This window comes from Homo sapiens, chromosome 1 (genome assembly GCF_000001405.40).
Source record: "Homo sapiens chromosome 1, GRCh38.p14 Primary Assembly".
NCBI lineage: Eukaryota > Metazoa > Chordata > Mammalia > Primates > Hominidae > Homo > Homo sapiens.
The window spans coordinates 111271783-111286159 of NC_000001.11; the positions used below are offsets into that span (position 1 = coordinate 111271783).

Here is a 14377-nt window from a genome sequence, read left to right on the forward strand (position 1 = left end):
GACCAGATGCCCAGACTTGCCCATTGTCCCCCACCCCCACCCCAATGACACTTGCTGCTCTCTTGTTCTACCTCTAGTTCCTCACTCCATTACTCTGTTGTTTTTTCAAAAAATCGCTATCAGAGTAATCCTTTGGATGTGACCAGTTCCATCAGCTGCAGCAGCATTTCACAAAATGTTTCAAATAACCCTAGCTTTTTGCAAGCTAGTAACAAACTAAACCTGTTTTTTGGGAAATGCTATCCTATACTCATGCTGTGTGTGGGCCACAAATTTGGTTTTATATTTCTGGTAGACCAGTGAAAAATTAGAAACAAAATTAATTACACAATTTATAATGTGCAGAAAATCAGAGCAAACCAACAAGGCAAACTATTTTAGATTGAAAGACCAGAAATATACTTCCCTCCAGGATTTTTATTGCCAGAACACTGCATAATCCAAGGATCAACATCCTCACAGTAAACACAAAGGCCTATTTTTACATATGAATGCTCCCTATAGCATCCCTTAAAAGAAAGGGAGGGCTTAAGTCCAAAACGCAATCAATCTTTCAAGACGAAGATGCCAAAGCAATTGCAGCAAAAGCAAAAATTGACAAATGGAATCTAAGAAAACTAAAGAGCTTCTGCACAGCAAAATAAACTGTCGACAGAGTAAACAGACAACCTACAGAATGGGAGAAAAGTTTTGCAAGCTATACATCTGACAAAGGTGTAATATCCAGCATCTATAAGGAACTTAAACTAATTTACAAGAAAGAAACACACAACCCTATTAAAAAACCATTAAAAAGTGGGTAATGGACATGAATAGAAATTTCTCAAAAGAAGACATAACATGCAGCCAACAATCATATGAAAAAAGCTCAACATCACTGATCATTAGAGAAATGCGAATAAAAATCACAATGAGATACCATCTCATACCAGTCAGAATGTCTATTATTAAAAAGTCAAAAAATGACAGATGTTAGTGAGGTTGTGGAGAATAAGGAACAGTTACACACTGTTGGTGGGAGTGTAAATTAGTTTAATCATTGTGGAAGACAGCATGGTGATTCCTAAGACCTAAAGACAGAAATAATATTTGACCCAGCAATCCCATTACCAGGTATTATACCCCAAGGAACATAAATCATTCTCTTATAAAGACACATGCATGCCTATGTTCATTGCAGCACTACTCACAATAGCAAAGACATGGAATCAGCCAAAATGCCCACCAATGTTAGGCTGGATAAAGAAAATGTGGTACATATACACCATAGAATACTATGCAGCCATAAAAAAAGAATGAGATCGGCCAGGTGCGGTGGCTCATGCCTGTAATCCCAGCACTTTGGGAGGCCGAGGCAGGTGGATCACGAGTTCAAGAGATCGAGACCACCCTGGCTAACACAGTGAAACCTCATCTCTACTAAAAATACAAAAAATTAGCTGGGCATGGTGGCAGGCACATGTAGTCCCAGCTACTGGGGAGGCTGAAGCAGGAGAATGGCATGAACCCAGGAGGCGGAGCTTGCAGTGAGCTGAGATCACGCCACTGCACTCCAGTCTGGGCGACAGAGCGAGCCTCCATCTCAAAAAAAAAAAAAAAAGAAAAAAAAAAGAGAATGAGATCATGTCCTTTGCAGGGACGTGGATGGAGTTGGAGGCCATTATCCTTAGCAAACTAACACATGAATAGAAAACCAAATACCTACTACATATTCTCACTTACAAATGGGGGCTAAATGATGAGAACACATGGACACATAGAGGGAAACAACACACACTGGGACCTATCAGAGGCTGGAGAGTGGGAGGTAGAGGATCAGGAAAAATAATTAATGGATACTAGGTTTAATACCTGGGTGATGAAATAATCTGTATAACAAACCCCTATGAAACATGTTTGTCTATGTAACAAACCTGCACATCTTGCATATGTATCCCGGGACTTAAAAGTTAAAAAAAATGCAATCAATCAAAGCAAACCTATGGGACGCTTATATAAAAGGCAGGTTTCAGCTTTCTACTGATCTCTCTAGAGCGATGTTGTACAATATGGTAGTCATTAGTCACAGGTGGCTACTGAGCACTTGAAATGCGAATAGTCCAAACTAAGATGTATTATAAGTTGGAAATGCACGCCAGATTTTGAATATTTTCTAGAGGGGAAAAAAGTAAACTATCTCAGTAATTTTTATATTGATCACATGTTGAAATGATATATATTAGGTATACTAGATTAAATAAAATATATTATTACATTAGTTTCACTTGTTTCTTTTTACTTTTCTAGATGTGGCTTTTTAAAAAATTTAGAGTTCCATATGTGGCTCCCATTATTTTTCTATTGGACAGAGCTGCAATGTTTCTTGAACTATATACTCTAAGATATCAATATATATACTATATATGACAAAAGGGTTTCATAGTTTAATAATTTGGAAAGCACTGCCTACTATATTCCTTCGTCTTGTGTTCTGCAGGGTAACCTGAGATTTTGGGGAAAAATTTTTATGGATTAAATGTATTTGGGATATGCCAGTTAAGAACGGAGGACTTAGAACTCTCAATGTAATGTGAATTATGATTTTCTAAGAGAGGCATCTTATATACAGTATTTCTCCAACACACTCAAAGAACGCTTTTCATCATAAACACAACCCCCATTAATACAATTCTGAAGGAGAGTTTAGGGAACTGGAGTAGAAGATAAAGCTCATAGGCCTTACTTTGCTTCATATATCTGTTGTATGGCTCAAGGCTTGCATTGTAAGTCTTTTCTCTAGCTTTTCCCTCAACTAATAGCTAGACTAGTATTTTCACCAGATACTGGTGAAGTCCTCACCCCAGACGTAATCAATCAGACCCTTGGAGATCACCCTTTTGTGTTAGTTAAGCCTTGTTGTGTAAGAAACTACCCCAAAATATAATGGTTTAAAGTGGCAACAATTTAACACGCTACTATATGGATAAACCTTGAGGACATCATCCTGAATGAAATAAGCCAGTCATGAAAAGACAACAGTGTATGATTCCACTTTTATGAGAGATCTAGACTAGTCAGTATAATAGAAACAGAAAGTAGAATAGTGGTTGCCAGGAGTTGGGGAGTGGAGGAAAATTGGGAGTCATTTGATGGGTACGGAGTTTCCGTTTTGCAAAACAAAAACCGAAAGAGTTAGTTGTTAGAAAAAGTCCTAGAGATCTGTTACACAACAATATGATTATAGCTAACACTACTGTACACTTAAATATGGTTGAGAGTGTACATTTTTATTGTGTTTTTTAACCATAATTTCAGAAAATTAAAAATAAGGTAAAATCAAAACAGCAACAATTTATTTAGCTCACAATTCTGTGGGCCAGCAGTTTGGGCTGGGATGAGCCAAGTACTTCTGGTCTTGGCGGCTGGGCTTACTCATGCATTTGTGGTTGGCTGGCAGTCAACTAGTGGGCTCTGCTTCTGGGGGTTGCCTGGCTGTCAGCTGAGGCCATTGGGAGTGACTGGCCACATGTTTCTCATTGTCCCTCAGGCTAACTCTGGTCACATGACAATAACAGCTTTCCAAGAGTATGAGCAAAAGCCTCATGGCCTCTTCAGAACTAGGTTTAGAACTCACACAATGTTACTCTAGCTGTGTCCTATTAGTCAAAGCAAATAACAAGGCTAGCCCAGATTCAAGGGGTGAGCTAAGCAACTCCTGATACAAGGCGCTAAAAAGCACTGTGACTATTTTTACAATTGTCCACACTTGTCCTGCATCCCATTTTCTAGAATAATCCATTTTCTTATATTTTATATGAGAAAATTTCCTGTTTCTTATATTTTATATACTCAGAAGCATACTACTCTTTTGTGCATCACTTTCTTTTACTTTCTCAGACACTCTTTCATCTCATCAGCATATCAGAAGTATTTTATTCTTTTTAGTGGTGAATTTTTGCATTATCATTTTGCTGGGCTTGCCTCACTCCCCTGTCTCTCCATTATCTTTGCTGTATCTCAATGCTAAATGCTAAATATTATAAAAACAATCTTCTCTAAAAGTGTCTCCTTGACTTTCTCCCTCTGCCTCTAACAATTTCCTTGGGAATCCTAAAATCCAGATGCCTGGCTGTCCACTCCTTAGGCTGGGTTCCTTTTCACTTGCTGTAGTAGTTATTATGGGCTAACTTGCCTTGTAATGTTTGACTCACTAGGTCATAAGTTTTTATTTACTTATCTATCTGCACCAGTGATGGTAAGCCCTGTGTCTTGTTTACTTGTATAGCCAAGCACTCACAAGGTACCTGACACAATATAGGCATTCAGTAGGTAATTATTAAATAAATGAATAAACATTAATTAATAAATAGGTTGATGTAGGTGCATTCCCAAGGTGTTTACTGCAAACTACACCATCTAACTATAAGATCCCCTATAGGGGATTCCCTGTAGGGGATGGGAATTGCACCTCTTCTCTTTCTTCCTTCTAGCTTGTGACTCATCTTTTACTGGAAGGATACCTTCTTTTAATATCTCCTACCTGATTTCCCATATGCAAATCAACACTCTCAGCTTTCATGTGTTCACACCATGAGTACCATCTGCCAGACTCTATCTCTTTATTAGAGTATTTCTCCTCTATATGTGCTTTAACTGATGAGAGTGCTCTAGAAACAAGAGCCCCTCCCCCATCATTCCTTCATATGCACTTGAAAAGAATATGACTGTGTAAAAGTGTATATTGTGTAAATTTTTGTGTAATGTTTATATATGTCAATTAGGCCAAATATTAATAACATGCTCAGGTCTAGACACTTACTGACTTTTTTCTTTGTTCTGTTACTGTGAGAGGTATTAGAAGTCTCCTACTATGATTGTAGACTGGTCTTTTCTCCTTTTAGTTCTGGCAATTTTTGCTTTCCATATTTTGTAGCTATGTTCATGAGTACATAGAGATTAAGAGTTTTTATATCTCCCTGTTAGATTGACACTTATTGTTATAAAATGTCTTTATCTCTAGGAATGCTTCTTGTTTTAAAATCTACTTTGTCTGATATCAATATAGCTATACCTACTTTCTTTTGGTTAGTGATTGCATAGCATACTTTTTCCATCCTTTTATTTTAATCTTGCTGTGTCACTGTCATATTTTTCTTAAAAGTAGCATTTACTTGAATATTTTTAAAAAAGAAAACACATCAGTAATCTTTGACTAATAAATGGAGTATTTAGCCCATTTATATTTAATGTAACTACTGGTATATTTCTGGTATATTTAAGTAACTTTCCCAAAGCCACAGCATGTTAGTGGGAGAGTGCACACTAGGCATTTCCTGACTTTCAAGTCCAGGATGCTTTCTCATTCATTACCTCAGACTTGGGTTAAAGGCTGTATTTCCCACCCTCACATCTGCTTCTGCCACTGCTGTAATATTTAGTCCTTCAAGTTCCTTCAGAGATATAGGCGGCACCGCTCTGGAATCTTAGCCTGATTCCAGAATAAAGGAATGTTAATAGCCCTCTGTGAGCTTTCCAGGAGCCCACACAATAAGGTTGGTAGGCTTTCAAAGAAATCAGTTCCATTAGTGAAGTAGCACAAACAATTGTGAATTTCCTTGAACTCACCTGAAAGCCTTAAGATCCAGGAGTAAATTCAGGGTCAGGACCTTGATGCCATACTACAGGTTGAGAACCCAAAACATATCTAAGGTAGGACTGAATCTAGGACCCACAGCCACCAGCAAAGAACTACCTATGCTATATTGCTAGCACTCCCTAGCTCACCTATTTTACTTTTTTTTTTTTTTTTTTTTGAGACCGAGTCTCACTCTGTCACCCAGACTGGAGTGCAGTGGCGTTATCTCAGCTCACTGCAACCTCTGCCTCCTGGGTTCAAGTGATTCTCATGCCTCAGCCTCCCAAGTAGTTGGGACTACAGGCATGAGCCATCACACCCAGCTAATTTTTGTATTTTCGGTAGAGACGGGATTTCACCATGTTGGCCAGGCTGGTCTTGAACTCCTGACCTCAGGTGATCCACCCGCCTCGGCCTCCCAAAGTGCTGGGATTATAGGCATGAGCCACTGCGCCTGGCCTATTTTACTTTTAAGAACAAGGAAGGCTTTAAGCATTCTAAAACACAACTAGGGAGGCACAGGAGAAAACAGTGGTGATCTGGGAAAGCTGGAGTACAAGATGAATGAAACCACTTACCTTCCTGCAGGTGCTCCTAACGTACACAGTGCCTCAGTGCCTCTGTCTTATGGCTATGAGCTTTACAGCAATCTTTCTCAAACTGCAAAAAGGCCTAACTAAAATCCATCTTGCAATTCCTAGCACTTGCGTTAAGGTAGGCAGCATGTCTACACATCCTTCTGTAGGATGTAGGTTTAAAAATATCAGAAGATTTTTTACCCAAAAGATGCCCTTGTGCCAGCCTGCTTTTTCATGTGTAAAATACAACAATTACTGCTACTAAAATTAATTTATTTGGTGCTCAGTGAATGTTTATTTAGAAGCCCTATTTTGCATAGGAAATAGACTTTAGGTACAACATGGGAATTAACATGGGTTTGAGTAGTATTGGGTTTTTTTGGAGGACTGGTATTCTTAAGGAATTTTTAAACAGAAGATAAGGCACATGTGCAAATAGTCTATAATGATTATTATTTGTGGAGTGTTTATTATGCACCTGATTCTTTACAAATATTTCATTTAATGCTTACAACTGCCATGCAAAGTAGGCATTTGTATCCCAATTTTACAAATTAGGAAACTGAGATTAAGGAACTGTCCCAATTTCTCAAACCAAATGAACAATGGAAAGAATTTGAACCTCAATGGTAGAAAGAATTTGAACTCCAATATGTGTGGCTTTTTCCACTGGTTCCACATTTCTTCCCTACCAATGGTTCATAAAAAGAAGTAGTGAGTTTTCCAAATGGTACAAACAAAATACCAGAGAAGTAGAGGTGAGGAAGGTAGTCACTTCCAGGTGTGATGATTGGGGAAGGGGTCATGGGGGAAAGCCACTGAGGTGGGCCTTTAATGGAGTGGGAGGTGGGTACAGGAGGACAATATTCTATATTCTAGACAGAGGGAATGGCCTCAGCAGGAGGGTGAAGATGAGACCATTTTTGAGTGTGGAGAACAGTATAACTTAATATGCAAGATTTATATTGAGAGGCTAGCAGAAGGCAAGGCGGAAAGTTAAATTGAGGCAAGATTGCAGAGTCGATGACAGGCGAAGGAGAAAGAACTCTATGAGGCAATAAGGAGCTGTTAAACTCTGCCCCCCAACTCCAGGGATTTGGAGCCATATACAGAAAAGATCTAGAAGAAAAAGAAGGGAGCTACAGTGCACTGTCACAGTGCTGAACTCTGACAGAAGTGGTGGCGGGGAATGGAATTGATGATTCCAAGGAGAAGGGGAACTCTAAGACCAAAGAGAAGAGGACTATAGATTTCAGTGACCAATGGGTTTTGGAGAGTAGAAGAAATGTATGAATCACAAAAACTATAGTGGTGAGAGCCTGGGTGATCAAGAGAACTTTGGAACCACACACGGAAATGTGGGCAACAGGAAGAGGTGCTGGCTTAGGGGAAAGAACCACCTGGAAAGTGTCAGCCACACAGGGTCTGTGGTCAGGTATGTTACACCGGGGGCCCTGGGGCAGGCTGAATCCGAGGAAGTATCACAAAGGAAAGGAGCTTCCTGAGAAGAGAAGAACCAAGTGAAGGCCACTTCAGGGGTAGAGGGCTGGGAAAGGGTAGGAGAAATAGGAGTAGAAAAATCAACAGAAGGAAAAGAGGTAATGAATTTGGGGTCAAAAAGACAGAGTAGGTAATGACCCTCTATAGACTTTGCTTAAGGAGGAAACTTTGTTCTTACAATGAGTGAATGAATGACTGCAAAGAATAAATGAATGCAAAGTTACTCAATGCTTCCATCTGACAAAGAGTGCGTGAAATAGCCAATCAGTTGCTTCACTATCCAAATGGAGAATATAGCCCACTATACATAAGCCATTTTGAATTATATAAGCTACTCCATAATGGAGCTTATTAGTGTGGTTCCCGGGCTTGAGCCCAATCTTTTCTTCTTGTGAAACGAAATCAAGATAGTATTGTTTCCCTGTCAATAATGGGTTCTTAAATGGGCTTGAGCTTTGTGAGCACTGCCAATATCAACACTTACTTTAGAGGCAATCTTGATAAAGGAGAATCTGATAAGGCACAAGAGAGGGCAAAGAGGGTATAAATGGCAGGTTGGATGAGGGACACTACCACTGAGGCAACATGGCCAAGCTCACCCTTCTCACTGGTAAGAGATCGTCTCATCTCTGTACCTCTGAATGACTCTCTCCATCTTGTTTTTCTGCCCCTTTAAAACTCTTTTACCTTCAAATTTAAACCAGATCAACTGAGATTTTTGCTTTCGGCAAAAGTATGGGGATGTACTGAACAGGGGGACAGCCCCAAATTGCCTGGTGATAGGTTTCTCACTGCCCTGCTGTCCCCCTCCCTTCACCAAGCCTCAAAGGCTCATGGTACTTTAATGGTCTTTTGAATGGAAATAGAGGGGAGTGGGTTTCCAGGACAAATCCAAAGGCTTTGCCAGCCTCAGTAGGTTGGTCATCTACAGAGGATCTTAAGAGAATGAAAAATAGAAAAAGCTTCCTACTGCTTAAGTGAGGTGACTAATGTATAAAGGCTACTCTACTCACATTCCTCCAGTTCATTATTCTCTCTGTTGCTTTAAGGTCTGCTCCTTGTGCTGACAGCTGAAATAGGTAGGTATATTTCTTGGGATGAACCACTATATTGTTCCTCTTTTGCTTATTCATAATTTGGAAACTCAGTACTGCCCTGTGTCCTTCCACATCAGACAAAGAATATTAACTACTCTCTACAGAGTTTGAAATTCCCTAACCAAGTTTAAAGGATTGATACCATTGGCCTAAAAATCCCAAAGCAGAAACCAACTAGATGGCAGTCTTAAAGAATACGTGCTAACAATAAAAACTAATGCGGTGAGGCAGCTACACAGTGTCCTCTGCTCTTAAAACATTTTAAAATCTGTCATCTTACTGAGTTTTAAAACAACTCTTCTTTGAGAGGTGTACAGGAAAGGCATTACCACTCCATCTCACAGACCAGTTAACCAGGGCAGAGATAAGACATATGACCTGACCTAGGTAATACAGAGAGTTCATGGCAGAATCTGAACCAGTAGCCAGGGCCCTTGTCTCTTGGTGGAAGACTCATTTCCCCCTGGGTGGAATTACTCAGGGAGATATCCAAAAGGGCTAAATAGGCTTATACTATCATCCTTTCTGTGTCTCAGTTTCCAAATGGGTTAAAATGAGAAAATAATAATACCTCTCTCAAAGGGTTTTGGTGAGGATTCATGAGTAAATATAAGTAAATTTCTCAGAGCAATGCTTGGTACGTAAGCTGCCACATAAGGGAGCTAGAATACATCTAAATCATAGTTCACTAAGCTTTAAAATTCTATTTCAGCTAAAGGCACTGGTTTCTAAGGTTATTTAATTCTCTCTTGGAGGAACAGAGCTATCTCTAAGAGATATCTTCAGCCCTGAATTGCCTGCTCATTATTGCCTGCAAATTATATAATTATAGGTTTGCTGCAACATAAAGTTCTTACATTGACTTTTCCCCTTTCCTTTGAGACTTCAAATAGGGAAATCATTTGGAAATCTGTGGTTTTTAAAGAAATCTGTGACTCACTAGGGAGCTTGTCTCTCACCTTCTTTCTCTGGGTAACAGGCTCTGCCTACCAGCTGACATGTTACTTCACCAACTGGGCCCAGAACCAGCCAGGCCTGGGGTGCTTCAAGCCTGATGACATCGACCCCTGCCTCTGTACCCACTTGATCTACGCCTTTGCTGGAATGCAGAACAACGAGATCACCACCATCGAATGGGATGACATGACTCTCTACCAAGCTTTCAATGGCCTGAAAAACAAGTAAATGACGGAAAACCTGAGTTTCAAATCTTTTAACCTTTAAGGACAGTTTAAACAAGATCTTCCACAGCAGACTTCAGGCTGAAATTCCAAACAGGCCAACAAGCAGGTAAATTCAGCTTTCTTATTATTTCAAGTGCAAGAATGACTCTAATTTTAAGGGGAATGGCTGGCTCACAGAAGCTAGCTGCTAACTAAAGCCCAGCTCAGTTGCCAAGGGAAGCTTATAAGTCCAACTACTGGTGGACTCAGTTGAGAACAATCTTCCACTTAGAAGCAATCCAAAGCTGGCATTGATAAAGCATTCAGTCTCCTTGGTCAGGAGATTCACTCCTAGGGAAATAATTGGAACTGTGGAGACATTGGGGTACAGCAAACCAACATGGCACATGTATACCTATGTAACAAACCTGCACATTGTGCACATGTACCCTGGAACTTAAAGTATATTTAAAAAAAAAACTGTGGAGACATTGAAACATACCAATCATAGTCACCTACTCCAACATTCATAAGTAGGAAATAAGGATAAGAACAAAGATAAACCAGGATGAGAGGCTGCATGACACTTTCCTGGCTTCTTGCTCACTATTGCAGCTAAATGTTGAAATGGCTTCCCTTTCTTTTCATTTGTTCTGGTAAAACACTTTGTTTCTTTTCCCTCAGAAATAGTCAACTGAAAACTCTCTTGGCTATTGGTGGCTGGAACTTTGGCACTGCTCCGTAAGTTCTTTTTGGTGATGACTTCCTAGGTTGATTTTACTCTAAGGTGTTGGGACCACCAAGGTCTCACCCTGCCTTCTTTGGGTCTCCCTCAGTTTCACTGCCATGGTTTCCACTCCTGAGAACCACCAGACTTTCATCAACTCAGTCATCAAATTCCTGCGCCAGTATGAGTTTGACGGGCTGGACTTTGACTGGGAGTACCCCGGCTCTCGTGTGAGCCCTCCTCAGGACAAGCATCTCTTCACTGTCCTGGTGCAGGTGAGCTAAGTTCCAGATCATTTTCACTGGAAAGCATACACCCATCTCATATGAAAGATCACTGGGACCTTAAACCTAGTTTCCTAGAATTTTATTTGGGGTGAAGGACCTGAAAATCCTATTCCAGTAAGGATGCTGAGGAATGAATGGAAGGATGGAAGAGGTTAATTTAATTCAGTGTCATGAACCTCATGAAAGTAAACTTAAAGTTACTATTCACAGACTTTCTCCTGCTCCTGTACAGGAAATGCGTGAAGCTTTTGAGCAGGAGGCCAAGCACATTAATAAGCCCAGGCTGATGGTCACTGCTGCAGTAGCTGCTGGCATCTCCAACATCCAGTCTGGCTATGAGATCCCCCAACTGTCACAGTGAGTGATGTGCCTTATCTTCAAACCCCTGGAGGTATCACTCAGGCAGACTAGACTTGTCTTTGGTCTGTCTTGCTATTCAGGGACCTTGTTTAGGAGGCTATGGAAGTGGTGCCTTGTGCCCGCACAGGTATGGGAAATGACCATCAGAATGATTTTAAATCCTCTACCCCACCTCAGGTACCCGGACTACATCCATGTCATGACCTATGACCTCCATGGCTCCTGGGAGGGCTACACTGGAGAGAACAGCCCCCTCTACAAATACCCGACTGACACCGGCAGCAACGCCTACCTCAATGTGGTGAGTCCCTGTACAGATGCAAGAGCAGACCAGAGATGATGATGAAAATCACATAGAGATTCAGGCACAAAAGGCATCATAAGTTTAGTGGTTTTCTCAAATGAGAAATTAGGCTGCCATAATCAATTAAATATTCTCATTTACTAAAAAACTTGCCTATTTATTAACACCATACTGATAATTTTACCTAATATGAAAGAAGATTAATAACAAGTGCATTGTTTTTTAATAAAAGAAAATGATATGCCACTGCTCCTATTTCAATAAATTATAAAAGGCTTTTTCCACCTTCCCCCTTTTGCTGTTTCCCTTTTGCCTTACCCATTTTCTACTGTTCTAATCCCTTGCCTATGTATATCATATAGAATTTCGGACATTAACTAATGAATCATACCAGGAATATCATTTTAAAATCTCTGCTCTTCTATCATATTTTTTTTATCCAAAGGGTATATGTAAAGCCTGCTTGTTATTAAAAGAATTTAGTTGAGAATTAGACCTATCACTTTAACAGATATATGTCAGTGATGCTCTAAAATATGTTGCAAGTACTTTGTACAGTGGGCACAACCAAATCAAAAAAAGTTTAGCTAATAATTAATCACTAGGCCATCAGCTGTGGGTGAGAACTCTAGCTAACCCACTGCCATTGCAGGATTATGTCATGAACTACTGGAAGGACAACAGGGCCCCAGCTGAGAAGCTCATGTTGGATTCCCAGCCTATGGACACTCCTTCCTTCTGAGCAACCCCTCCAACCATGGAATTGATGCCCCTACCACTGGTCCTGGCCCTGCTGGACCCTATACCAGGCAGTCTGGGTTCTGGGCCTACTATGAGGTATACACTCAGAAATGTTAGAGGAAATGTGGCTTTCTCTTGGTCCATGTAGCTAATAATATGAGCAATATGCAACAGTTCTTGGATTGGAGCTGAAAGTGGATGTTTGTGGCTATCTAGAAGGGAGGCAAGATAAACCCTCCTGTTGCACCACTTTAATTGGGCCTTCACTAGGTCCCTTTGAGGCTAGATTCCAAACACAGAGAGTGTAGGAAAGTAGGCTACCATTAGTGAGAGTATATCAATCTGTAGACACTTCTGACTGCCAGGGTATTCCTTGATTTAAGAGTTTCTCCCCACATTGAAAATAAATTACTCAAAAGGAGTAAACAAACAGAATCCCAAATAACTAAGAAATTTGCTGGTAAAGCAATAGACCTTCATTTTCAAGGAGTTTTTATGCAACACTCCTCTACTTCCCCTTCCCCATGTCCTTTTACCTCTGCCACCACAAGGACACTGCCTACCTCTTGACCTGTACCTTATATTCTGTTAGATCTGTACCTTCCTGAAGAATGGAGCTACTGAAGTATGGGAGGCTTCTGAGGATGTTCCCTATGCCTACAAAGGAAATGAGTGGCTTGGATACGATAACACCAAGAGTTTCCAAATCAAGGTAGACTGTGTTCTATGGGTTGTTGTTGCCTGTGAGCATGTTCCCATTATAGCCCTGGAGCCACAGCTCAGCCTTGGTGTCTGTACATAACTGACTTCCTTTCTAATTACCACAGGCAGATTGGCTAAAGAAGAACAACTTTGGAGGTGCCATGGTCTGGGCCATTGACCTGGATGATTTCACAGGCACTTTCTGCAACCAAGGAAAATTCCCTCTGATCACCACCCTGAAGGATGCTCTGGGCCTGCAGAGTACAAGTGAGTTAGGGAGTGAGAAGGGACACTAAGCCTCAGACTTAAGAGAAATTCCAAAGGTTCCTTGGAAGTCATGGAGCTGTTGCACAAGTAATTGTCTGACATTGTCCATTCCTATCTGGTAACAATTGATTAATGGTGGGAAGAACAAACAGGGCTCTTCACCATTTCTTCCTTCCTTCATTCATTTCACAAGAAATTTATTGAACATCTATTACATATACAGTGCTCTGTAGGTACCACAGGTGATCTAAATGCATAAATATCCATATCTACTCTATGGAAATTTACAATCTAGTGAGAGAAATTGGATTTACAAAAACTGCAAAGCTAGACAACAATACAGAAGATATTATGTGATACTGTGCCCCCTAAAAGAATAAGTAACCTTCTTGTGAGTTCATGATAATGAAAAATTTCAATCAGTAAGATGTAAGGAGGAAAAAATGCACTGTGACTTGAAGGATGAGGAAGGAGTTGGTAAGCAAAGGGGTGAGTGGAGCAGGAAGGATATATCAGATCAGAAGACTGAAATATGTGGAGACATAGAAGGAGGAGCCAAGAACAAAATCCAGGTACTAGCTCTCACACATCAGGTATCACTGGCTAAAAGCAAGGAGGTTCAGGATTTGTTTTCTTTTTTCTTCTCAGGTTGCAAAGCTCCAGCCCAACCCATTGCTCCCATTGCCGAGGCAAACATCACATGCGGTGTCAGCCACAGTCGTAGCTCTGGGGGCCGCTCTGGCAGGAGCTCTGGGGGCAGCCCCAGAGGTAGTGGATTCTGTGCTGACAGGGCCAGTGGCCTGTACCCTGACCCCACTGACAAGAATGCCTCCTACAGTTGTGTGAATGGAAAGACTTTCACTCAGCACTGCCAGCCTGGTGGTGTCTTTGATACCTTCTGCTCCTGCTGCAGCTGGTGATAACATTTTTCAGATATCACCTCACCCAGCCTCAGAAGTTGTTGTGCAATAAAAGGTTGAGCATTACTGTACAATCGCTTCTGCTTCTTTACTGTAGGATCTTAGATGTAATTGATC

General features: G+C 40.7%; 1 pseudogene across 1 annotated transcript, besides 1 other annotated feature; it reads left to right on the forward strand.

Annotated features, from left to right (window-relative positions):
• Positions 3000–3069: an enhancer, noted in NCBI's record as "active region_1492". NCBI's record gives its function as "activates an Ori minimal core promoter by ATAC-STARR-seq in GM12878 lymphoblastoid cells {active_cell/tissue: GM12878}" and the evidence as "EXISTENCE:reporter gene assay evidence [ECO:0000049][PMID:35858748]".
• On the forward strand, positions 8742–14326 carry CHIAP2 (chitinase, acidic pseudogene 2; annotated as a pseudogene). Its single transcript, NR_003928.2, has 8 exons — positions 8742–8771; positions 9769–10693; positions 10789–10954; positions 11199–11323; positions 11504–11627; positions 12283–12467; positions 12964–13083; positions 13199–14326. The product of NR_003928.2 is annotated as a chitinase, acidic pseudogene 2 (transcript).
• The last annotated feature ends 51 nt before the right edge of the window (positions 14327–14377 follow it).